Genomic DNA, 25,639 nt, shown 5'->3' on the forward strand with positions numbered 1-25,639 from the left:
CTTAGGGGAGGGGAGGCTGGGACCCCGACCAGCCGAGGAGGGGCTTCCCGCCCGATCCCTGCTACTTCCCAGCCCCTGCTCTGAACCCAATCCCGGCTCGGCACCGCAGCTCTTACCTGGGCTCGGGGACCCGCCGTTTCCCGCGCTCGGACCAGATTCAAACGCACCCGCCGGCGCCCCAGACGGGCCCCGCCCTCCCGGTCGTCATCAGGCGCCGCTCTCGCGAGAGCTGGGGCGCCGCGAGCCTCGGGCCTCGCCCACACGCCCGGCCCGCCCCGCCTCCAGATCATGCCCCGCCCACATGCCCGCCAGTCTTCTTCCTGTCTATGCCCCGCCTCTTAGGGCGCGGCCTCGAGCAGCTAAGCCCAGTGCCCTACCGGGCACTACGGAACGCGCACGCGGGGCGCCACAGCTGGGGAACCCATGCCCGGTCCGCGCGCCGACGTCCACTGCGCGCTCGTGCGCGTCCTGGGGCCTCCGCGGAGGGAGTGCGCGGTCCAGGAGAGGGCGGGGCGCTGCGAGCGGGCGGTGTTGTGGGAAGGAGGAAGGAGAGGAAGAGAGAGAGGGGGAGAGAAAGGAAAGGCTTGGGGCGGGGAGAGGCCACAGGGCCGTGTCTGGATCCCCGGGAGGACCCCACCCCGACCTGGCCGGCCCCCGTGACCGCCCTCCCTGCCGAGGGGGCACCTGTCCGGGTGGTCCGCAGCCTGCACACGGTAGGTGCACCCTGGGCAGGTGCTTCCCCCGCAGGAGCCCCTCCGGCCAGGTGCGGCCCCTAACAGGTGCTTCTCCTGCAGTTGCTCCTCCAGCAGGTGAGGCCCCCGGCAGGTCAGCTGCCCATAGGGTGGAGAGGGAGAGGCCTTAGCGGGGACCCTCGGAGGCACCCGTGTGAAGGAGGAGTAGCAATGTCATTCAATTCTTTGGACTTAAATGCCAAAATCACATACTGATGTATCAATCTCTTTTAATTTGTGTCAGCGAATAACTTGATTGGGCGTTCCCAATTTTTGTTGAAAGCAAATTCTTAGAAAACGGTGCTCTTTACCACCGAGCTCTGCATCCCTTCGTGAGGACTTGGCCTTCCCTGGAGCTATATTCTTTCATGCTTGAGATGTCTAGAGTGGTATCTGTTTTCCTGGCTTAACTCAAGCCAGAGGTCTTGGCGAGATTGAAGTCGTTGCACTGTGGGAGCACAGCACCAACCAATAGGAACATCATGGGAGCCACAAGTGCACTTGTAAATTTCTAGTGACCACATTAGAAAAATGAAGATAAATAGGTGACATTAATTTTTAAATATGTTTTATTTAGCCTAGTATATCAAAAATATTTATGTTACTTGTTGGAATATCGTTTCAACAAGCAATATAAAATTATAGCAGGGAGAAGACTGGTTTACTAGGAAGCTTGCAACAGTGAAGCAAGGCAGGCTGCAGAGGGGAGGGAGAAGACCCACTCAGAGGATGCTGAGTCTGGGACCCTTGTCAACAGGTGGCCGATATCTAACATTGCCTATTTCATCCTGGGGCTCCAGCCACCTCTGACCTCCTCCTCCCTCCATACACAGATCCTTCCCTGCCATTTCTTGAATTTTGGTGCCCTCATCTTCTCACTGCTTTCTTCTTAGCAATTTCCTTCATATCCAAGGTGCAAACTGCCACCTTCAAGCAGTGACCTCTGCATCTGGATTTGCAAGACACGGTTATTTCTGAACTCCAGAATTTTCAACAGCTCACTGCCTACTCCCACGCTGGTGCTGACATGCATCCAAAACAGATATCGACTTCCCCTCCCACCCCTGAATCCTGCCCCTTTCCTTATGCTGGTCCCTCCTCCAATCAGCCATCTGTTCCTGGGGTTTCCACTTCCTGAGTAGGAATAATGTAACAAGTTACGCATGTGAGCTCTGAAGCTGTACCACCTGGGCTAACCTGGTTCTGTGCTCACTAGCTGGTGACCTTTGACAAGCCATGGACGACTGAGCCTCAGTTTCCTCATCTATCAAATGGGACCTACTTAAGTACTGAGCCTCCTCTAGGGGGTTGTTATGAGGCCTAAATGTCTGTATAATGCAGAGCTCAGCCTCCTCTAGGGGGTTGTTATGAGGCCTAAATGTCTATGTAGTGCAGTGCTCAGAGGCACGTGGAAGCAGGGCAGCAGGAGCGCCCAGTGCACCCCCAATGCACCTGCCCATGCAGCCACTAATGTCATAGGATCCTTTGGGTATCGCTTCACCAGCTAGAAACCTCCGTGGCCAGCGGTGCCTCTGCTAGAGTTTTGCTCGAGCCCACTCAGCCCAGCAGGTTGCACTCGGCTTGCACTACCAACCCAGATCCCACGCCTGCCAAGGGTGAGCCAGGTGCAGAGCGGCAAGGGGTATGTGAGCAAGCGAGCATGGGGTCCAACCACTGCGCACACCCAGCCATGCAGCTGCTGTGGTGGAGCAGGCAGCTCTAGGTGCCTGCACAGCTGCCGGCTCCATGCAAGGCTGTGGCTGGACCAGAGGTACCACAAGTGGCTTCCACTGCAGGCATCAGCATCTGGACAAGGGGAACATGGTGGCACCCGAAAGCTCACAGATGCCAGGAGCCACAGAGCCCCAAAGGGGGGTTACACTGTGTCACAGCCCTGGCTCGGGGAGCCCCGAGGTCTGGGCTCCCAGAAGGGCCACAGCTCTTCTGTCCTTCTCATCACCCACAGCGTGGCTAGCAGGGGGTCGTGTTTCCGGGGCGGCATGTTTCACCTCATTTGTGTTACAGGTCTTTTGGTCCTGCCGCCCCACACCGGTCCACGGCTCCTTGGCTGTCCCGGCCCCACCGCTGCTTCCCACTGCATGGGGTGGCCACTGGGCGCCAGCAGAGGGTGGGAGGGCTATAGCATTATAGCTCTGGCTTGGGGAATCCCAAGGCCTGGGCCTCTACAAGGGTCACCACTCTTCACTCCCTCAGTCTGGGAGCGTGTCACCACCCGCAGCTCAGCGACCCGGCCAGGAACCCGTTACAGCCACTTTGGCTCCCACCTGCAACTTGGCAAGCTGGCCAGGAAAGTATTACAGCTCGTTTTGCTCTCACCATTCAGCAGGTTCCAAGTTCTTGTCCCATGTCCAGGAAGAATGAGGTTTGGCAGACATCTGGAGGGTGAGCAAGGCAGAGAACAGCTGACCAAATAGCTCTCAGTGGAGAGGAGACTCGAAGTGGGTAGCTCCTATCCACAGGCACGTATGGGCTCAGAATGGAGGAAGTACATGTTGATTGGTCCATAGACAGGAGGAAGTGTGTGCTGATTGGCCCATGGGCAGGCCTGGAAAAAGCACTACTTGATTGGCTGAAAGGCATCAAGTAAGTTCTCTTTCTGGATCTCGGACTTCACCAGGAACTGGCATCCTGGCCCAGGAACTTCAGGCTGTCCCTGGCTTGAAAGTGGGGTTTCACCAGGGACCTGCCCCTTCCCACCCAGGAACCTGTCTGCCTCCCGCTGCCATCACCGTTCACTGGGAATGTGACCTTCCCCGCAAATAGATGACACTCCTCCAGAACTCAGCTCAAGCTTTACCTTCTATAGGGGTTTATTTCCTGAACCCCATAACCCTCACTGTAATGCAATCTCTTAGCCCCCTACCACAGGCCTCATCATCTCCTCCATGTCAAGCACTGTGTCATCCTTAGTCCTATATCCGTGGCGTAAGGCCTGGCACATTTTAGATGCTTGAAGAAAATATTTTCTGAATAAATGAATGAATGAGGCATGAGATCATCTGTGTTCTTAAAATCTTACAATGTGGTAAATTAGAAAAGGTTTATAGAATTAAAGGTGGACCACATGGCAAGGCAATATAAAACTAAGTTTCAAAGGGTATAAAACTTGGCAAAAATATCTTTGATAAAAATATAATATCTTTTTTTTTTTTTTGAGACATAGTCTCGCTCTGTTGCCCAGGCTGGAGTACAGTGGTGCTATCTCGGCTCACTGCAAGCTCTGCCTCCCAGGTTCACGCCATTCTCCTGCCTCAGCCTCCCGAGTATATGGGACTACAGGTGCCCGCCACCACGCCTGGCTAATTATTATTATTATTATTATTATTATTATTATTATTATTATTTGTATTTTGTTTAGTAGAGATGGGGTTTCACCGTGTTAGCCAGGATGGTCTCGATCTCCTGACCTCGTGATCCGCCCGCCTCACCCTCCCAAAGTACTGGGATTACAGGCGTGAGCCACCACGCCCGGCCAAAAATATAATATCTTTCATAGTGAGCCAAGCATAGGGTTTGCAGGGTTTTTTTTTTTTTTTAAGTTTAGTTTATTTTGAATTGCACAAGTAACACAATCACACGGTTCAAACTCACATGGCAAGAAGAGGTATACAGAAGAGTCTTCTGAGACCCCCTGGACACAGCCCTCTGCTCCAAAGGAAACCATTGTTATCAGCTTCTCAGAAACCCTTCCCTTGCCTGTATAAGAAAATACAAGATTTATAATTTAATTATAATAATTGTAACATGGAAAATAAGCTAAACCAACAAGAAGTCATTAGCTAGGAACTTCATGGAATCCTAGTTAAAATAACCATTTCAAAGCCACTCTGGGCAAAACCCCCCAGTGCAGGGCAGCTGTGAGGGCTCTGTCACACCAGCCGGGGGCCCGGAGGAGGGGTCTCCAGGGCCACACAGGGCCTGGCCCAGCAGAGTGAGCCACTGGCTCCAAGAAGGGGAGGAGTCTCTCCAGCACATAGGAAGCTGTATTAGTCTGCTCTCACACTGCTATGAAGGAATACCTGAGGCCAGGTGCAGTGACTCACACCTGTAATCCCAGTACTTTGAGAGGCCAAGGTGGGCAGATCACCTGAGGTCTGGAGTTTGAGACCAGCCTGACCAACATGGTGAAACCCCGTCTCTACTAAAAATACAAAAATTACCCAGGCATGGTGGCGTGCGCCTGTAATCCCAGCTACTCGGGAGGCTGAGGCAGGAGAATCGCTTGAACCCAGGAGGCACAGCCACACTTAGGGAGAGCTTGGGAAGGGGTGGAGGGTGACAACTGGGGGTGCTGAGACAGATACCATCACCTGGTGTCCCCGACAGTGAGGGGAGGGGAATGGTGGGGCGAGCCAGGCTCTGCAGGGCCCTCTGGACTTCTGGGGAGCTCCTGTTCAGTGCAAGTGGTTTTCTTCCCCCTCTTAGGTTGAATTCCTCTTTAACATGATCCCCGGCCTTTCGATAAAGGAATTTTCATACACAACCTGCAGCTGTGACCTAGGGAAGACTGCAGGGGCAAAAGTGAAGAGGAAAGTGAGCAGCCCCCCCCCCAATCCCCCTGGGGTCCTCGGGGACGTCGCAGCATGGGTCCAGGGATGCGGAGCTCAGGCACGGGAGGTGAGCTCAGGGGTATCTCCTTAGTGGTTACTCAAAGGAGAACAAGATAAACCATCGAGGGCAAACGTTTTCAACCATGGCTGCCCATGAAAACTACTTCAGCTGCTTTAAAAATACTAAAGGCTAGGCTTCCTGGCCAACTCAATCAAATCGATCAATTCAACCGGGGATTCCCTGGGCATTCTTTTTTTTTAGACAGAGTCTCACACTGTCGCCCAGGCTGGAGTGCAATGGCGCAATCTCGGCTCACTGCAAGCTCCACCTCCCAGGTTCACGCCATTCTCCCATCTCAGCCTCCTGAGTAGCTGGGACTACAGGCGCCCGCCATCACACCCGGCTAATTTTTTTGTATTTTTAGTAGAGACGGGTTTTCACTGTGTTAGCCAGGATGGTCTTGATCTCCTGACCTCGTGATCCTCCCGCCTCGGCCTCCCAAAGTGCTCGGATTACAGGCGTGAGCCACCACACCCGGCCTGCATTCATATTTTTTAACCTCCCCAAGTGATCCTAATGCACAGGTTAGAAGAAACTGATCTCAGAAAACATGTAAAAAGAGGAAACGTGAATGACTCGAGTATAAAATCAATAAAGCTGAGGTTCCTGCTCCAGGCTGAACCTGAAACAGCTGAGAATCGGACTGCGCGATGAGTGGCTCCTCAGCACCTGCCCAAGCCAGGCGTTAACGCGGGACAATCACTGTCCTCTTAAAGCTCATAGCATGACTGAGAAAGTGGACACAACCCAAGTGTCCATCAACAGACAAATGGAGAAACACAGTGTGGTCTTTTCCCACAATAGAATATGACTCAGCTGTAGAAGGAATGAGGCTCTGACACCCCTACAGTGCAGATGACCCTTGAAACATCATGCTCAGTGAGAGAAGCCAGACACGGAGGTCACGGATTGTAGGACTCCATTTATATGGAAGGTCCACATGACTGTAAAATCCACAGAGGCAGGAAGCAGATTAGGTGTTGCCAGAGACTGAGGAGAGGGCGTGGGGAGTGACTACTAATGGCTGTGGTTTTGGGGTGACGAAAATTATCTAAAATTAGATAGTGGTGATGGTTGCACAACCTTGTGGGTTTACTAAGGCCACACAGTTGTATGCTTAAAAGGGTAAATTTTATGGTATAAAACTGTATCTCAATAAAGCTGTTATTAAAAATTCACGGCTGGGCGCGGTGGCTCATGCCTGTAAACCCAGCACTTTGGGAGGCTGAGGCAGGCGGATTACGAGGTCAGGAGATCGAGACCATCCTGGCTAACATGGTGAAACCCCGTCTCTACTAAAAATACAAAAAAATTAGCCGGGTGTGGTGGCGGGCACCTGTAGTCCCAGCTACTCGGGAGGCTGAGGCAGGAGAATGGCGTGAACCCGGGAGGCGGAGCTTGCAGTGAGCCGAGATTGCGCCAATGCACTCCAGCCTGGGCGACAGAGCAAGACTCCGTCTCAAAAAAAAAAAAAAAAAAAAAAAAATTCACGGCCGGGCGCGGTGGCTCATGCCTGTAAACCCAGCACTTTGGGAGGCTGAGGCAGGCGGATTACGAGGTCAGGAGATCGAGACCATCCTGGCAAAACCCCGTCTCTACTAAAAATACAAAAAAATTAGCCAGGCGTGGTGGCGGGAGGCTGTAGTCCCAGCTACTCAGGAGGCTGAGGCAGGAGAATGGCATGAACCCGGGAGGCGGAGGTTGCAGTGAGCCGAGATCGCACCACTGCACTCCAGCCTGGGCGACAGTGCGAGACTCCCTCTCAAAAAAAAATTTATGACTGGTCATGGTGGCTCAGGCCTGTGGGTGGATCACCTGAGGTCAGCAGTTCGAGACCAGCCTGGCCAACATGGCAAAACACTGTCTCTACTAAAATACAAAAATTAGCTGGGTGTGGTGGTGGGCACCTGTAATCCCAGCTACTCGGGAGGCTGAGGCGGGAGAATCACTTGAACCTGGGAGGCAGAGGTTGCAGTGAGCCGAGATCACGCCATCACACTCCAGCCTGGGCAACGGAGCAAAACTCCATCTCAAAAAGAAATTAATTTACTAAAAATAAATAAATAAAAATTTACCAGCAAGAGTATGAATAGAGAGGAGCCAAGGTGGGGATTCGGATCTGGTGAGCTGAGGGGAAGGGGATGCAGTGCTGGTGGCACCAGGCACAGTCAAGCCCATATCCATGGGTCTGGCCTCAGGGACAACGTGAGCCAGAGTCCTGGGTGGTGCCACAGGGCAGAAAGATGTTATAAAGGCTTCCTAAGGGTCGTGGTATCTAAACAGACTCGAGAACACTCACTGTCAATCCTGAACACAACTTAAAATCGCCGAGTTCTTAAAACCAAAAAACCTAGCCCTACCCCAGACCAATTAAGTCAGAATCGCTGGCGGTGGGCTGGACAGAGTGATTCCATTGTGTAGCCAGAGTGTAGGTTTGAATGCTGCCGGGGGCTTGAAGCTGGAAGGGAGAGGGGCCTGCCAGGCAGAGGGCGGCATGTGAGTGCCAGGCAAACACGGGCATTGCCAGCATAGACTGGCAAGGGGTGAAACAAGCTGGAAACAGGAACTGTCGCCGGGGTTCACACCAGGAAGTTGGGGTTTATTCAATGGGTGGTGGAATCTCTCTGAAGTTTTTTTTTTTTTTTTTTTTTTTTTTGAGACGGAGTCTCGCTCTGTCGCCCAGGCTGGAGTGCAGTGCCGCAATCTCGGCTCACTGCAAGTTCTGCCTCCCGGGTTCTCGCCATTCTCCTACCTCAGCTTCCCGAGTAGCTGGGACTACAGGCGCCCGCTGCCATGCCCAGCTAATTTTTTGTTGTTGTTGTATTTTTAGTAGAGACGGGATTTCATCATGTTAGCCAGGATGGTCTCGATCTCCTGACCTCGTGATCCACCCGCCTCGGCCTCCCAAAGTGCTGGAATTACAGGCATGAGCCACTGCGCCTGGCCCTCTCTGAAGTATTTTAAGAACGAGTGTGACGTGTCTCTGAGAAATCCCTGGGGGCAATGGGCCCACGTAGGTGCTGGCGGGAGGGACCCAGCCAGGCAGCCACGGGTGACAGGCATGACTCCCAGCCAGGAAAGTCCTTCCTCGGATGCCGCACTGAGGAGTGAGTTCTGGCTGCTGCCTCCACCTCACAGCAGGCAGGGGTCTTCACAGCCACTGCATGCCCAAGACTACCCAGGCCAATGGACTAGAATGTCAATCTTTAAAATGCCTGAAGGGGGCCAGGCGTGGTGGCTCACACCTGTAATCCCAGCACTTTGGGAGGCCAAGGCGAGTGGATCACTTGAGGCCAGGAGTTCAAGACCAGCCTGGCCAACACGGTGAAACCCCATCTCTACTAAAAATACAAAAAATGAGCCTAGTGCAGTGGCATGTGCGTGTAATCCCAACTACTTGGGAGGCTGAGGCAGGAGAATTGCTTGAACCTGGGAGGCAGGGGTTGCAGTTAGCGGAGATCGCACCATTGCACTCCAGGCTGGGCAACAAGAGCAAAACTCTGTCTCAATTAAAAAAAAAAAAAAAAAGGCCGGGTGCGGTGGCTCATGCCTGTAATCCCAGCACTTTGGGAGGCCAAGGCGGGCAGATCACAAGGTCAGGAGATCGAGACCATCCTGGTCAACATGGTGAAACCCCGTCTCTACTAAAATACAAAAAAAAAAGTAGGCATGGTGGTGCACGCCTGTAGTCCCAGCTACTTGGGAGGCTGAGGCAGGAGAATAGCTTGAACCTGGGAGACGGGTTGCAGTGAGATCGTGCTACTGCACTCCAGCCTGGCGACAGAGTGAGACTCCATCTCAAAAAAAAAGAAAAAAAAAGATTGATAGTACACACTAAGCAATGAAAAGAATTAATTAAGATAAATCCATACCTATGTAAGTTACAATGGAATTGTAGAACATCAAGCTATTTTTAAAGGCCTAAAACCTTTCAGACAGAAAAGACAGATTGCTTAAAGAGATGTGAATGATTTAATAATTATTGGATGTGAAGATTATTACAAACAATAATCATCAACAGTAAATACCAGAAGGCAAGTGCTGGAGAAAAGTAACTGCCAACTCAGAATTTTAAAACCAGCCAACTAATTATTCAAGGAAAAGGGCAAATAAAGACATTTTCAGTCCTTAAAAGACCAAGGGAATCAGTACCCAGAGACTCTCCATAAAGAATTATTAAAGAAGAAAAGTCAACTCAAGGAAAGCTATGGAATCCAGGAAATAAAAACAAGCACAGAAATTGCCCATCTGCACCCTTAGATGTTATTAACAATCACTATAAAGTGATAATGACTTTTTTGCATTGAAAAAGATTGGAACTGGCCGGGCGCAGTAGCTCACGCCTGTAATCCCAGCACTTTGGGAGGCCAAGGTGGGTGGATCACGAGGTCAGGAGATCGAGACCATCCTGGCTAACACGGTGAAACCCTGTCTCTACTAAAAATACAAAAAATTAGCCAGGTGTGGTGACAGACGCCTGTAATCTCAGCTACTCAGGAGGCTGAGACAGGAGGACGGCGTAAACCCGGGAGGCGGAGTTTGCAGTGAGCTGAGATTGCGCCACTGCACTCCAGCCTGGGTGACAGAGAGAGACTCCATCTCAAAAAAAAAAAAAAAAAAAAAAGGAAAAATATTGGAACTAAAACTCTGGAAGAGCACACACTGAGTTGTAGTATCTACGGTCCTTTGTGTTTAGAAAGACAGATACCGAAAGAGTTTAACCAATCAAATAATATCACCTACAGCTTCCAAACAGCAAAGGAAAAAATATATAAAACTCTATCAATCCAAAGGTAGGAAAGAAGAGCAAGGAAGCAAAAGAAAAGGTAAAAATAAAACCTCAAGTAAGATCATAGAAATAAGTGTAAATATGCCACTATTCATAACTAATGTAGAAAGGTTAAATTCTTAATTTTAAAAAGAGATTAAATCGGATAACATAACATATTCCAGCTATGTGTATCTTATTCAAGATATAATTAAAACAGGCCAGGTACAGTGGCTCATGCCTGTAATCCCGGCACTTTGGGAGGCCGAGGCGGGCGGATCACGAGGTCAGGAGATTGAGCCCATCCTGGTGAACAGGGTGAAACCCCGTCTCTACTAAAAATACAAAAATAAATAAATAAATAAAATAAAAGATATAATTAAAACAAAGCTACACAGAAAGGTTTAAAATAAAGGTGTGAAAAATACCATTTAAGTACTAATTAATGGAAAGCTGGTATGGCAATATTAATATTAGACAATATAGAATCCTAGGCAAAAATATCTATAGAAAATAATGAAGGGATAATAGGTAATAAATGAAAAAATCCATCAGGAAGATATATTAATCATGAATCTGTATGCCCTTTACAACCAAACCTTAAAAATATGAAATAAAAAATGAAAAACTTACAAGGAGAAACAGATGAATTCTCAATCATCACAGCACCTTTTAACATATTGCAATCAGAAACTGAACTATGAAGCTACAAAAGATAAGTAACGCTAAGGAAAAGATGAGTAACACAATTAGCTCGATTTAAAAAAAATTATAGGCTGAGTGAGGTGGCTCATGCCTGTAGTCCCAGGACTTTGGGAGGCCGAGGTGGGTGGATCATTTGAGGTCAAGAGTTTGGAACCAGCCAGGCCAACATGGTAAAACCCTGTCTCTATGAAAAATACAAAAAAATTAGCTGGGCATGGTGGTGCGTGCCTGTAATCCTAGCTACTCAGGAGGGTGAGGCAGGAGCATTGCTTGAACCCAGGTGGTGGAGCTTGCAGTGAGCTGAGATCGCGCCATTGCACTCCAGCCTGGGTGACAGAGGGAGACTCCGTCTCAAAAAAAAAAAAAAAAAAGAAAGAAAAAAAGAAAAAGAAAAAGAAACTTCCTCTTATCCAGAGATGGTGGTGCATACCTGTAGTCCCAGCTACTCAGGAGGCTGAGGCAGGAGAATCATTGAACCTGTGAGGCAGAGGTTGCAGTGAGCTGAGATTATGCCACTGCACTCCAGCCTGGGTGACAGAGCGAGACTCCATCTCAAAAAATAATTTTTTTTTAAACATTAGGCATGGCAGTGTATACCTGTAGTCCCAGCTACTCGAGAGGCTTAGGTGGGAGGATCCCTTGAGCCCAGGAAGTTAAGACTGCATGAAACTATGTTTGTGCAATGTGTTACTTCAGCCTGAGTAACAGAGCAAGACCTTGTCTCAAAAAAAAAAAAAAAAAATCCATAGGAAATAAATGACAAAACTCTGATGACTGAAATCAAAGAAGAACTAACTAAATGGAGAGACAGGATTGATGCTACCATCTTCAAGTATTACTATAAAGCTATAGTAGTAGCAGTGTAGTACTGGTAAATGAAAAGATAAATTAGTGCAACAGAAGAGAGCCCAGAAATAGACCCAAATAAATACAACTGACTGAACTCTGACAAAGGAGCACAGGAAATACAGTACGATGGATGAACGATAGTCTTTACAACAAATGGTGCTGGAACAACTAGACATCCACATGCAAAAAGTGAATCTAGACACAGATCTTATACCCCTCAAAAAATTAACTCAAAATGGATCATAGACCTAAATGTAAAATGCAAAACAATAAAACTCCTAGAAGATAACACAGGAGAAAACCTAGATGACCTTATGTATGGCGATGACCCAACACAGGCATAATCCATAAAAGAAATCGTTTATAAGTTGGACTTCATTAAAATTTAAAACTTCTGCTCTGTGAAGGACAATATCTAGAGAAAGAGAAGACAAGGCACAGAGTAGGAGAAGATATTTGTAACAGACACATCTGATATAGGACTGTTATCCAAAATATACAAAAAACTCTGAAAACTTAACAATAAGAACACAAACAATCCAAATAAAAAATGAGCTAAAGATCTTAACAGGCCCCACACCAAAGAAGATATACAGATGGCAAACAAACATATGAAAAGATGCTCCACATTATATGTTCAGGAAAACACAAATGAAAACAACGATGTTATACCACTGCACACCAACTAGAAAGGCCAGTCTGGAACACTGACAACACCAAATCCTGGCAAGGAAGTGAGCAACAGGAACTCTCCTTCACTGCTGGTGGAAATGCAAAATGGTGCAGCCACTGTAGAGAACAGTTTCCTCCTCCTCCTCCTCCTCCTTCTTTTTCCTTCTTCTCCTCCTCCTCCTCCTCCTTCTTCCTTCTTCTCCTCCTCTTCCTCCTCCTCCTTCTACTCCTCCTCCTTCTTCTTCCTTCTCCTCCTCCTCCTTCTTCTTCCTTCTTCTCCTACTCCTCCTCCTTCTTCTTCCTTCTCCTCCTCCTCCTCCTTCTTCCTTCTTCTCCTCCTCCTCCTTCTCCTCCTTCTTCTTCCTTCTTCTTCTCCTCCTCCTTCTTCCTTCTCCTCCTCCTGCTTCTCCTCTTTCTTCTTCCTTCTTCTCCTCTTCCTCCTTCTTCTTCCTTCTCCTCCTCCTCTTCCTTCTTCTTCCTTCTTCTCCTCCTCCTTCTCCTCCTCCTTCTCCTACTCCTCCTCCTTCTTCTTCCTTCTCCTCCTCCTTCTCCTCCTTCTTCTTCCTTCTTCTTCTCCTCTTCCTCCTTATTCTTCCTTCTCCTCCCCCTTCTTCTTCCTTCTTCTCCTCCTCTTCCTCCTCCTCCTCCTTCTTCCTTCTTCTCCTCCTCTTCCTCCTCCTCCTTCTACTCCTCCTCCTTCTTCTTCCTTCTCCTCCTCCTCCTTCTTCCTTCTTCTCCTCCTCCTCCTTCTTCTTCCTTCTCCTCCTCCTCCTCCTTCTCCTCCTCCTTCTCCTCCTGCTCCTTCTCCTCCTTCTCCTCCTCCTCCTCCTGCTCCTTCTCCTCCTCCTTCTCCTCCTGCTCCTTCTCCTCCTCCTCCTTCTTCTTCCTTCTTCTTCTCCTCCTCCTCCTTCTCCTCCTCCTCCTTCTCCTCCTCCTTCTCCTCCTCCTCCTTCTCCTCCTCCTCCTTCTCCTCCTCCTCCTTCTTTTTTTTTTAAAGGTCACTCTCTCACCAAGGCTGGAGTGCAGTGGCACTCCACTCAATATCATCATAGCTCACTGCAGCCTCAACCTTTTTACTGGGCTCAAGCAATCCTCCCAACTCAATCTCCTGAGTAGCTGAAACTACAGGCATGCCCCACCATGCCTGGCTAATTTTTAAATTTTCTGCAGAGACAGGGTCTTACTATGTTGCCCAGGGTTTCTTACTCCTGGCCTCAAGTGATCTTCCTGCTTCCTTAAGCCTCTGAAATTGCTGGGATTACAGTCGCGAGATACCATGTTTGGCCCAGTCGGTGGTTTCTTACCAAATTAAATATATTCTTTTTTTTTTTTTTCTAGACAGGGTCTTGGTCTGTTGCCCAGGCTGGAGTGCAGTGGCACAAACATAGCTCACTGCAGCCTCAGCCTCCTGGGCTCAAGTGATCCTCCCACATCAGCTTCCCAAAGTTCTGGGATTACAGGTGTGAGCCACCATGCCCAGCTCAAAATATACTATTATCGTATTATCCAACAATTGTGCTCCTTAGTATTTAACCAAAAGAGTTGAAAACTATGGCCATACAGAAAACTTGCACAGGGATGTTTATAGCAGCTTTATTTGTAATTGCTCAAACTTGGAAGCAAATGAGCTGCCCTTTAGCAAGTGAGGTAGATAAGTAAACTGTGGCACATTCAGACAATGGAATATGATTCAGAACTAAAAAGAAATGAGCTATCAAGCTATGAAAAGACATGGAGGAGCTGTAAATGCATACTGCTAAGTGAAAGAAGCCAATCTGAAAAGGCCGTATACTGTGTGATTCCAACTATATGACATTTTGGAGAAGGCAAAACTATAAAGACAATGAAAAGATCACACACACGATACACGGCCACACACTCACGCACATGAGCACAGACGCACGCACACATACACAGGCAGATGTATTTGGCCCATGAAGACAGAGAGCTTCCCCATCACTGCCGCGCAAACCGCCTCGTACATAGTAGGTGCGTGTTTCAATGTTGCTGAATGAATCAAGAGCGCTAAACAGTATTTTGGTTGTATTTTATATTTTGAGAAAGTCAATGAGATGCTTCACAGGTTTACGTTCTCAAAGCAAGGGAATATGAGCGGAGAACAAAAACTTCCTAGCCAAGCACAGTGGCACATGCCTGTAATTTCAGCACTTTGGGAGGCCAAGACAGGAGGTTGCTTGAGCCCAGGAGTTTGAGACCAGCCTGCACACATAGTGAAACACCCATCTCTACAAAAAATAAAAAAATTAGCCAGGCATGGTGGCGTGTACCTGCGGTCCCAACTACTTGGGAGGCTGAGGTGGGAGGATGACTGGAGCCCAGGAGTCTGAGGCTGCAGCGAGCTGGAATTGTGCCACTGCTTTCCAACCTGGGCGATAGAGGGACACCTTGTCTCAAAACAACAACAAAATAACAGTTCCCCAAAGCTGTTTCCTACACCTGAGCAGAAGGAATGAAAAGCCTTTACGTAGCTGTTCTGCCTTACAAAACATACTTTGTTAGCAACTGACGCTAGTATTTACATATTCAGAGAATTATGATGAGACGCATCCAGCGCACTATCTCTGGGCAAATTTTTGGAAGAATTATTGCATAATAAGTGATCCAAGAAGCTTATGCTATTATGTTTTAAGTTAAAATATTCATCTAGAGATGGACATGGTAATGCACAACTAGAGTTCAGCCACGCTTCCTTTCGGCCGGAACCGCCATCTTCCGTCATTGGCCCAAATGACCAACAGGAGGGGAAAGGGGAGAGGCTCCCGATGGATGTTCTCTGGCCTTTTAGAAAACGTGGAGTTGTTCCTTTGGCCACGTATATGCGAGTCTATAAGAAAGGTGATACTGTAGACATCAAGGGAATAGATATTGTTCAAAAAGGAAGCTCCGCAGGTGTGACCGCGGCAAAGCTGGGAGTCGACCGCGTTCTCCAGCGTGCTGTTGCAAACAGACAAGGGCAAGATTCCTGCCGAGAGAATTATGTGCGTATGGAGCACACGGAGCACTCTAAGTGGCTTCCTGAAATGTGTGGAGGAAAATGATCAGAAAAAGAAAGAAGCCGCAGAGAAAGGTACCTGCTTCAACTAAAGCTGCAGCCTGCTCCACCCAGAAAAGCTCACGGTGCGAGAACCAAGGGGAAGGAACCTGAGCTGCTGGAAGCTATTCCCTGTGAATTCATGACATCATAGGTGTTCAAATAAAATAAAATAAAAGACCTCTGGACCGTAAAAATGTTTGTCTTCATTGAGTAGAAGTGTGGCGTCCTCTCCCCGACAGAAATATTTAAACCACATTTTAATCGTGTCCTAATTACGTAACATTTTTACTACTCAAATTTAATAGATTAAAATCGACTCGAAAGTTGTAAGGTGGCTTATTGTGCAACAAATTACTCAATTGGTTAGAAAACGGCCAGATATTATTTATGAAACATTTGTACTGGTTTGAAGACAGTCCCTCTAAATCATTACGGAAGGAATTAAATAATTTACTCTCTCTCTCTCTATATATATATATAACTATATATATAACTATATATAACTATATATAACTATATATGTAACTAAACTATATATAACTATATATAACTATATATAACTAAACTATATATAACTATATATATAACTAAACTATATATAGCTATATATATAACTATATATAACTATATATAAAACTATATATAACTATATATAACTAAACTATATATAATTATATATAACTATATATAACTATATATATAACTAAACTATATATAACTATATATATAACTATATATGTAACTATATATATAACTAAACTATATATAACTATATATAACTAAACTATATATAACTATATATAACTATATATTACTATATATAAGTAAACTATATATAACTATATATAACTGTATATAACTATATATAACTATATATATAACTAAACTATATATAACTGTATATAACTATATATAACTATATATAAACTATATATAACTATATATAACTATATATAACTATATAACTATATATAAAACAAAACTATATATAACTATATATAACTAAACTATATATAACTATATATAACTATATATAACTATATATAACTAAACTATATATAACTATATTTAACTATATATAACTATATATAACTAAACTATATATATCTGTATTTAACTATATATAACTATATATATAACTAAACTATATATAACTATATATAACTATATGTATAACTAAACTATATATAACTGTATATAACTATATATATAACTAAACTATATATAACTATATATAACTATATATAACTATATATAACTAAACTATATATAACTATATATAACTATATATAACTATATATATAACTAAACTATATATAACTATATATATAACTATATATAACTAAACTATATATAACTATATATAACTAAACTATATATAACTATATATAACTATATATAACTATATGTATAACTAAACTATATATAAATATATGTATAACTATATATATAACTATATATAATTATATATATAACTATATATAGCTATATATAACTATATATAACTAAACTATATATAACTATATATATAACTATATATAACTATATATATACTTAAACTATATATAACTATATATATAACTATATATAACTAAACTATATATAACTATATATATAACTATATATAACTATATATATAACTAAAGTATATATAACTATATATAACTATATATAACTAAACTATATATAACTATATATAACTATATATATAACTAAACTATATATAACTATATATATAACTAAACTATATATAACTATATATATAACTATATATAACTAAACTATATATAACTATATATAACTAAACTATATATAACTATATATAACTATATATAACTATATGTATAACTAAACTATATATAACTATATGTATAACTATATATATAACTATATATAATTATATATAACTATATATAACTATATATAATTATATATATAACTATATATAACTATATATAACTAAACTATATATAACTATATATATAACTATATATAACTATATATATAACTATATATAACTATATATATAACTAAAGTATATATAACTATATATAACTATATATAACTAAACTATATATAACTATATATAACTATATATATAACTAAACTATATATAACTATATATATAACTAAACTATATATAACTATATATAACTATATGTATAACTAAACTCTATATAACTATATATAACTATATATATAACTAAACTATATACAACTATATATAACTATATATGTAACTATATATATAACTATATATATATATAGTTCCAGCTACTTGGGAGGCTGAGATGGGAGGACGCTTGAGCCCAGAAGCTTGAGGCTGTAGTGAATTATGATCATGCCTGTGAATATCCATCACATCTCTTAAAAAAAATCATAAATAAAAAGCTTTCACCTTTCAACTCAGGGTCGAAGAAGCTTGGAGAATCATGGACAAGTGGAAGTGAATCTTGAGCCAAACAAAGAGGTTGTTTAATAGTAAGCATTGTCAGAGAGGTTACAGAGAAGCAAAGCACCCATCCACTGATGGGGCTGCCTGCAGGGAACAGAGGGCCTGAGAGCCGTACCTTTAGTTTGTTTAACTAGAGAAATGGTCATCAACAGCTCTCTTTCAGAGTAGAGTCTCTTTTCAGTGTAGAGACTGGAATTGAACTTTGTAGGCCCTGACTGTGTCTGTGTGGGCCACAGCCATCCTATGCACTTCTCTGTAAGTCTGAGTTAGCCCCGAGGCAGCATCGTCATCCAGAACCCAGGCCAGTGCTCCCCACTCAGGTTAGACTTAGACTCTAGGAAGCTGTGAGCATGTGCTGTGTGCATGTGTGTGGACTGTGTCGCGTGTTATACTGTTGTATGTGTGTTGTGTTGTGTGTCCTGTTATCATTGTTTTGTATGTATATTTTGTGTTGTGTTGTATTGTGTTGTGTTGTCTGAGTGTGTGTAGTATGTCTTGTGTGTTGTGTATATATTGTATGATGTATTGTTTTGTGTATTTGTGTGGTAGTGTGGTGTTATATGCTGTTTTATGAATGTGTGGTATGTGAATTGTATATTGTGTGTATGTTGTGTGTATATTGTCTGTTGTGCAAGTGTGTGGTGTGTTCTTGGTTGTCCATGTAAATGTGTGTGATGTGTATTTTGTTGTGTGTATTGTTTTGTGTGTATTGTGCGTTATGCATGCATGGTGTGTATATATTGTTTGTGTTCTGTGTTGTATCTGTATGAATACGTGTGGTATGTGTTGTGTGCATATTGTGTGTTGTCCATGTGTGTGGTGTGTGTGTGATGGTTCTCACGAGAGACTGGGAACTGAGACCAGCCTCTGCTGTGTCTGATCCAAGTGAGGTTCAGACGCCGGTCCCTATCCCTGTTGCAGAAAAGCCTGTGAACACTGGCATGGGGCTGCGGCGTCGCCAGCCTGGTCTGCGGTGCCCTCATGGTTATGGAAATGGAAGGAGCCAGGCCTGAACGGGGGTGCCGTCCACTGGTGAACTGCGGAGCCCAAGTGTTCATGCTGGGTGCAGGTGAGGCCTCTGCTGTGAGCCTAGAAGTCCTTCCTGCCTACAGGCCTGGGCTCGCAGGCCGAAGACACGGATGCAGCTGTGGTCATGGGTGTGGACTTGGAGGTGGGCTGGCTGTGAAGCCTGATTTGGGCCTCATCTGGTATCAATTCTTTCTGTATTAAGCTTCACTTACACCCAAGTCGTCAGTCAAACCTTGTTAAAAGGCACCATGTTGCCTCTCACAATGTTGAATAAAAGCAGCCAGACACAGGAGAACCCACTGAACGCTTCCACTTCCATCAAGCTCAGAATCTGAAAAAACACATCTGCAGGGCGAGGCGTCAGGAGCGGAGTGATCCCTGGTAGGGTGAGGGCAGAACCAGCAGGGGCACAAGAGGGTGCCTGGGGCTCTGACGTTGCTATTTCTTCTGACGGTGCTGGTTACACAGGTGTGTTCAGCTTGGAAATTCATCAAGGCAGTGAAATAGGATTTGTGCACATTTCTGTCTGCACCTATGCTACCATGAATAAAAGAAGAAACTGCATGGCCTCATTGTACTGTGGAGAATGAAGGAGGCCCCAAAAGGCCAAGTGGAGCCCTGGGGGACTTCACTGGGGATACACAGGCCCAACAGACGCATGACCTCAAAAAGGTGGGGGTAGCCAGGCACAGTGGCTCACGCCTGTAATCCCAGCACCGTGGAGGCCGAGGCGGGAAGATCACATGAGCCCTCTGGACCAGGAGTTGAGACCAGCCTGGGCAATGTGGCAAAGCCCCATCTCTACAAAATATTAAAAAATTAGCCAGCTGTGGTGGTGCATGTCTGTAGTCTCTGCTACTAGGGAGGTTGAGGTAGGAGGATCACTTGAGCCTGGAAGGTTGGGGCTACAGTGAGCTGTGTTCATGCCACTGCATTCCAGCCTGGGCAACAGAGCAAGACTCTGTCAAAAACAACAACAACAACCAAAAAGGCAGGGGAGTAGAGGGCCTTGTTCTTGGACAAATGAGTAGCAAATGCTAGAAGATACTGAATAGCCAGGTATGTGGGGAAGGAATCTGGAGTTGGAGAGGGGAGAGGCACCTCTGACAGTTAGGTTGGTGGAAGGTTCATGCCTTAATGATTTGGGGATTTGAGTATAAGAGAAAGTGTAACACTATTGTTGTCCTAACCTAGTGGACAAGGAGGGGAGGGTGCCACATTCTGATAGAAGTTGAGGACAGAGAGTGGACGTGGTGGCTGATGATCGTGCAAAGCCGAGGACAGAGAGTGGACATGGTGGCTGATGATCGTGCAAAGCCGAGGACAGAGAGTGGACGTGGTGGCTGACGATCATGCAAAGCTGAGGACAGAGAGTGGACGTGGTGGCTGATGATGGTCCAATGCGATGGGCCAGTGCTGTCCTAAGTGCTTTCCAGGGATGACCTCACTTCATCCTCAGTTCTGCCTTTGAGGTAAGGACTACAGCGATTCCTGCTCTGCAGAGGGGGAAATGGAGGCAGAGAAGTTACTTGACTTGCTCCAGGTCCCGTGGGACGGAAGTGGGGCTTGAACCTGGGGGTTCTGACTCCAGAGCCATGCTCTACCCCACTGGGCCTCCCTGTTTCCCAGACTTGAGGTCCTGCAAAATGGAAACGTAGACCCTCTAGAGAGGTGTTTCTGTTTAGGGCCTGACATGTACGCAAAGACAAAAAAGTGACTTTATCCTTAGTATTTCTTGTAGGGCACGCTGGCTCACAACAAGTTCTCTTAAAAAAAAAAAAAATCTGACAATGCCTTAGTTTCTCCTTCACTGTAGACAGCTGTTGCCGACAGGATTCCTGGCTGACAGGCTCTGTGAGCACCTTGAATCCCTCATCCCTCTGCTCTGCCTTCAGGGTTTCTGATGAGAACTCAGCAGTTCGCACTGCGGAGGCGATGAGTCTTTCTCTAGTTGCATCGTCTTTTCAAACAGTTTAACTAAGATGTGCCTGCGTGTGGCTCTTTCCAAATTAGGGAGTTTTTGCTTATTATTTCTTTCAGTGTTTTCACTGGTGCTTCTCTCCCTCCTCCCCTTCTGGAACTCTCACTGCACGTATGTCAGGTTCGTTTTTCTTTATTCTTTTTGTCCCTCAGACTGGATAATCTCGATGGAGCCACCTCCAAGTTTGCTGATTCTTTCCTCTGTCAGCTCAGATACATGGGTGAGCTCCCCTAGTGAATTTCACATTACACTTCTTTAAACCCCAGGCTTTCTGGTTACTGTTTTCGTAATTTCTCTATACTGATCTTCTCTGTTTTGGTGAGACATCATTTTCATACTTTCTTGTAATTGTTGACATGATTCCCTTATTCCCGTGAACACGTTAAAAGTGGATTCAGGGTCTTGTCTTCGTCCACATGATGTCCAGCACCAGGACTTCCTTTGGGGTGGTTTATCTGACTACCTTTTTCCTGTGTGTGGCCTTCACTCTGCTGTTTCTTTGCATGCCTCATCCTTTTTTCATTGAATCTGGACATTTAAGATAATATACTCCAGCCTGGCCAACATGGTGAAACCCCGTCTCTACTAAAAATACAAAAATTAGCCGGGCATGGTGGTGGGCGCCTGTAGTCCCAGCTACTCGGGAGGCTGAGGTAGAAGAATTGCTTGAACCCAGGAGGTGGAGGTTGTGGTGAGCCAAGATGGCACCACTGCACTCCAGCCTGGCAACAGTGCAAGACTCATCTAAAAAAAAAATAAAAAAAAATAAAGATAATATAGTGTGGCAACTCTGTAGACAAGATCCCTCTTCCACTCCTGGCTTTGTTGTTGATGATGGTTGTCACTGTTGTTTCTTTGTGTTTAGTAACATACTTGGACTCTCTAGAAGCTGTGTTGTCACATGCTGCCTCTGAAGCCTCTGCTGGGTTAGCTCACGTGCCAGCTAAGGATTGGAAAGGACTTCTTTGAATACTTCAGACCAGTTGGTCTCCCACCTGCTGCCAAGGGGCCCTGTGCATGTGCTGGGTGCCTTCAGTCTTCCAGCAGGCACCTCACAGCCAGAAATGAGAACTCTTGCAGGTCTTTCCTGGGGATGTGCACAGCCCGGCATGTGCATGTGTCTAGCACCCCAGCAATGCCAGAGTTTTACAAAGCCCTCTGTGGACAGTCTCATCCCCTAGGTTCTCCTTTCAAAGTGTTTGGTTGGCCTCTTGTTTGTCCCAACTGCTACCACTGCCTCAGGCAGCTGCAATGTTAAACAACCGCCACCGATTCTTCTGGACCAACAAACCTGGAGATGGAGTTTTCCTGGGAGCCTGAGAGTTGAAATAGTGACAATTCCCTGGGGATGGAACTTTTGGAGAGCAATAAGCTCCTTCTTTCCCCTCCAGAGGCAGCAAGGCTGCTGGTCATCTGTGCTGTTGCACTTCTAAGGCTGCTGCTGTATGACTTTTTCCATATTTTCCAATAGCTATTGGCATTACCATATACGACACAGACATTTCTACATCCAAATATTTTCCAGATTTTTTTTTTTTTTTTGGTGATGGAGTCTCACTCTGTCGCCCAGGCTGGAGTGCAGTGGCATGATCTCGTCTCACTGCAGTCTCTGCCTCCCCCAGTTCAAGTGATTCTCCTGCCTCAGCCTTCTGAGTAGCTGGGATTACAGGTGCGCACCACTATGCCCAGCTAATTTTTTGTATTTTTAGTGGAGATGGGGTTTCACCATGATGGCCAAGGTGGTTTCAAACTGCTGACCTTAAGTGATCCACCTGCCTTGGCCTCCCAAAGTACTAGGATTACAGGTGTGAGCCACCACGCCCGGCCTCCAGATTTTTATTTATTTATTTATTTTTGAGACCGAGTCTCGCTCTGTCGCCCAAGCTGGAGTGCAGTGGCGCGATCTTGGCTCACTGCAAGCTCCGCCTCCTGGGTTCAAGTGATTCTCCTGTCTCGCCCTCCCGAGTAGCTGGGACTACAGGCGTGTGCCCCCACACCTGGCCGATTTTTTTTATTTTTAGTAGAGACGGGGTTTCACCACGTTAGCCAGGATGGTCTCAATCTCCTGACCTCGTGATCTGCCCACCTCGGCCTCCCAAAGTGTTGGGATTACAGGTGTGAGCCACCACGCCCGGCCCAGATATTTTTTTTGAGACAGGGTCTTACTCTGTCGCCCACACTGAAGTGCAGTGGCACAATCATAGCTCACTGCAGCCTCCTAACCTCCTGGGCTCAAGAGATCCTCCCACCTCAGCCTCCCAAGTAGCTAGAACTGTAAGTGTGCACCCACCATGCCCAGCTAGTTTTTTTATTTTTATAGAGATGAGGTCTCACTCTGTTGCCCAGGCTGGTTTCAAACTCCTGGGCTCCACTGATCCTCCTGCTTCGGCCACCCAAAGCGTTGGGCTTACAGGTGTGAGCTGCCATGCCTGGCCTCCCGAAGCGTTGGGCTTACAGGTGTGAGCCACCGTGCCTGGCCTTCTTTGCAGAGTATTATTATTGGGATTTCCAGGTAGGCAATCTTGTATCTGAAAATGACTATCTCTTTGTAAAAATTTCCAGATAATCTTTTTTCTTTGTATTATATTGCCCAGGAAGTTGAGAATAACAGTAAATAGTTAAAGGCAGACTTCCTGGGTGTTTCCAACTTTCATGTCTCAACTGTTTCTCAGATGAGGAGGCCCTTGGCTTTTTCTCTCAATAGTATCCATCACGCTTAGCAGTATCTTCTCCTTAGTCGTCACTAACAACCGTTAGTAGGTATATATCTTTTTTTGAATGGAAACTTGTTAGACGAGATGAATTATATTTTGGTCTGCCAAACGTATTTATTTCTTGAGACAGGGTCTTGCTGTCTCACCCAGCCTGGAGTGCGGCAACGCAATCATGGCTCACTGCATCCTCGACGTCCTGGCTCCAGTGATCCTTCTTCTGCTCAGCCTCCCGAGTGGCTGGGACCATAGGCATGCGCCACCACGCCTGGCTAATTTTTGTATTTTTGGTAGAGACAGTGTTTTGCCATGTTGCCCAGGCTGCTCTTGAACTCCTGAGCTCAAGTGAACCACCTGCTTTGGCCTCCCAAAGTGCTGGGATTACAGGTGTGAGCCGTCTGCCAAACTTTATACATTTATTCAACAGATAATTGGTTTACCATGTGTCTGGAACAGTGATAGGCGACCAGTGAGTTTTAAATAAAACTCACATAATCTCTGCCCTTGAAAGTTTACAGTCCATGTAGGAAAGTTTTAAATAAAACTAAATTGTAATTACGTTAAATTTGGTGAATCAAAGTAACACAGGCCGGGATGGTGGCGTAGGCCTGTAATCCCAATACTTTGGGAGGCTGAGGTGGGGGGGATCCCTTGATCCCCCTACTGCACTCCAGCCTGGGCAACAGAGTAAGAACCTGTCTCAAAAAAAAAAAAAAAAAAAAACACATACACACACATGATGCTAAGAAAACTCACAGGACACCGAGATCAGCTTTCAACTGAGAAGTTACGGGGAGTGGATGTGAGCTGGGCCAGTCATGGTAAGAGCCCGCGTGGAGGTGCTGGGGAGAGGAGAGGAGAGGAGCAAGTGTGGAGGTGGGTGGGGCAGGAGCAGGTGTGGATGTGCTGGAGGGGAGGGGCAGACGTGGAGGTGCTGGGGGGAGGAGCAAGCATGGAGGTGGGGAGGTTGGAGCAAGTGTGGAGGTGGGGGGATTGGAGCAAATGTGGATGTGCTGCGGGGGAAGAGCAAGCGTGGAGGTGGGGGGGGAGGAGCAAATGTGGAGGTGCTGGGGGGAGGAGCAGGTGTGGAGATAGTGGGGGAAGAGCAAGCGTGGAGGTGTTGGGAGAAGCAAGTGTGGATGTGCAAGCGTGGAGGTGGGGGGCTTGGCGCAAGCGTGGAGGTGCTGGGGGGAGGAGCAAGGTGGAGGTTGGGACTGGAGCAAATGTGGAGGTGCTGGGGGGAGGAGCAGGTGTGGAGATAGTGGGGGAGGAGCAAGCGTGGAGGTGCTGGGGGGAGGAGCAGGTGTGGAGATAGTGGGGGAGGAGCAAGCGTGGAGGCGGGAGGGTTGGAGCAGGTGTGGAGGTGCTGTGGAAGAGGGGCAAGTGAGGATGTGCTGGCGGGGAGGAGCAAGTGTGGAGGTGGGGGCGTTGGAGCAGGTATGGAGGTGCTGGGGAGAGGGGCAAGTGTGGAGGTGCTGGGGGGGAGGAGCAAGTGTGGAGGTGCTGGGGGGGGAGGAGCAAGTGTGGAGGTGCTGGGGGGGAGGAGCAAGTGTGGAGGTGCTCGGGGGAGCAGTGTGGAGATGTTGGGGAGTTCCGAGCAGGTGTGGAGGTGCTTGCGGGGAGGAGCATGCCTGGGGGTGTTGAGTGGGAATGTGTAGGGGCCGTCTGTGGAACTGAGAGGCATTGATTGAGGTACAGTGGGTGAGGGTCCCAGAGGAAGAAGAAACACTCAGCTGCAGAAGTCAGGAAATGCTCTTGCTCTTGAACAGTGGAACACAGCTGAGTGGGAGTGATCTGTGTCTGAAAGATTCTCCTGTTGTATGGAAAATGGAGCAGGCAGGGGAGAAAGATTGAGAAATGGAGAGGGACGGTGGCTTGGACTGAGGGGACAGAGTTGAGGTGGCTACATTCTCCAGTTAGAGCTCAAGGACTTGGTGTCTGCACATGGGCTGAGGCAGTGGGAGGTGGCTGGTGCTGTCCAGGTCTCAGCTCCAGCACCAAGACGGATGATGGACAGACAGATGGACAAAGGGTGTGCCTTGAGGTGTCCA

General features: G+C 46.4%; 1 protein-coding gene and 1 pseudogene across 19 annotated transcripts in view, besides 3 other annotated features; one reads left to right on the top strand and one right to left on the bottom strand.

Moving 5' to 3' along the window:
- NCAPG2 (non-SMC condensin II complex subunit G2) overlaps positions 1-197 on the bottom strand; it is a 73,636-nt gene extending 73,439 nt beyond the window's left edge. For all 19 annotated transcript variants that reach the window (NR_104054.2, XM_047420547.1, XM_017012376.3 and 16 more), the window contains exon 1: positions 117-197. The gene's annotated coding sequence lies outside the window, so the exon portion shown is untranslated. The remainder of the gene's footprint in view (positions 1-116) is intronic.
- Positions 114-213: a silencer, noted in NCBI's record as "silent region_18866". NCBI's record gives its function as "represses an Ori minimal core promoter by ATAC-STARR-seq in GM12878 lymphoblastoid cells {active_cell/tissue: GM12878}" and the evidence as "EXISTENCE:reporter gene assay evidence [ECO:0000049][PMID:35858748]".
- Positions 364-453: a silencer, noted in NCBI's record as "silent region_18867". NCBI's record gives its function as "represses an Ori minimal core promoter by ATAC-STARR-seq in GM12878 lymphoblastoid cells {active_cell/tissue: GM12878}" and the evidence as "EXISTENCE:reporter gene assay evidence [ECO:0000049][PMID:35858748]".
- Positions 574-853: a silencer, noted in NCBI's record as "silent region_18868". NCBI's record gives its function as "represses an Ori minimal core promoter by ATAC-STARR-seq in GM12878 lymphoblastoid cells {active_cell/tissue: GM12878}" and the evidence as "EXISTENCE:reporter gene assay evidence [ECO:0000049][PMID:35858748]".
- On the top strand, positions 15,065-15,596 carry RPL21P76 (ribosomal protein L21 pseudogene 76; annotated as a pseudogene).

The sequence above is a fragment of the Homo sapiens genome, chromosome 7 (assembly GCF_000001405.40).
Source record: "Homo sapiens chromosome 7, GRCh38.p14 Primary Assembly".
NCBI classification, from domain to species: Eukaryota; Metazoa; Chordata; class Mammalia; order Primates; family Hominidae; genus Homo; species Homo sapiens.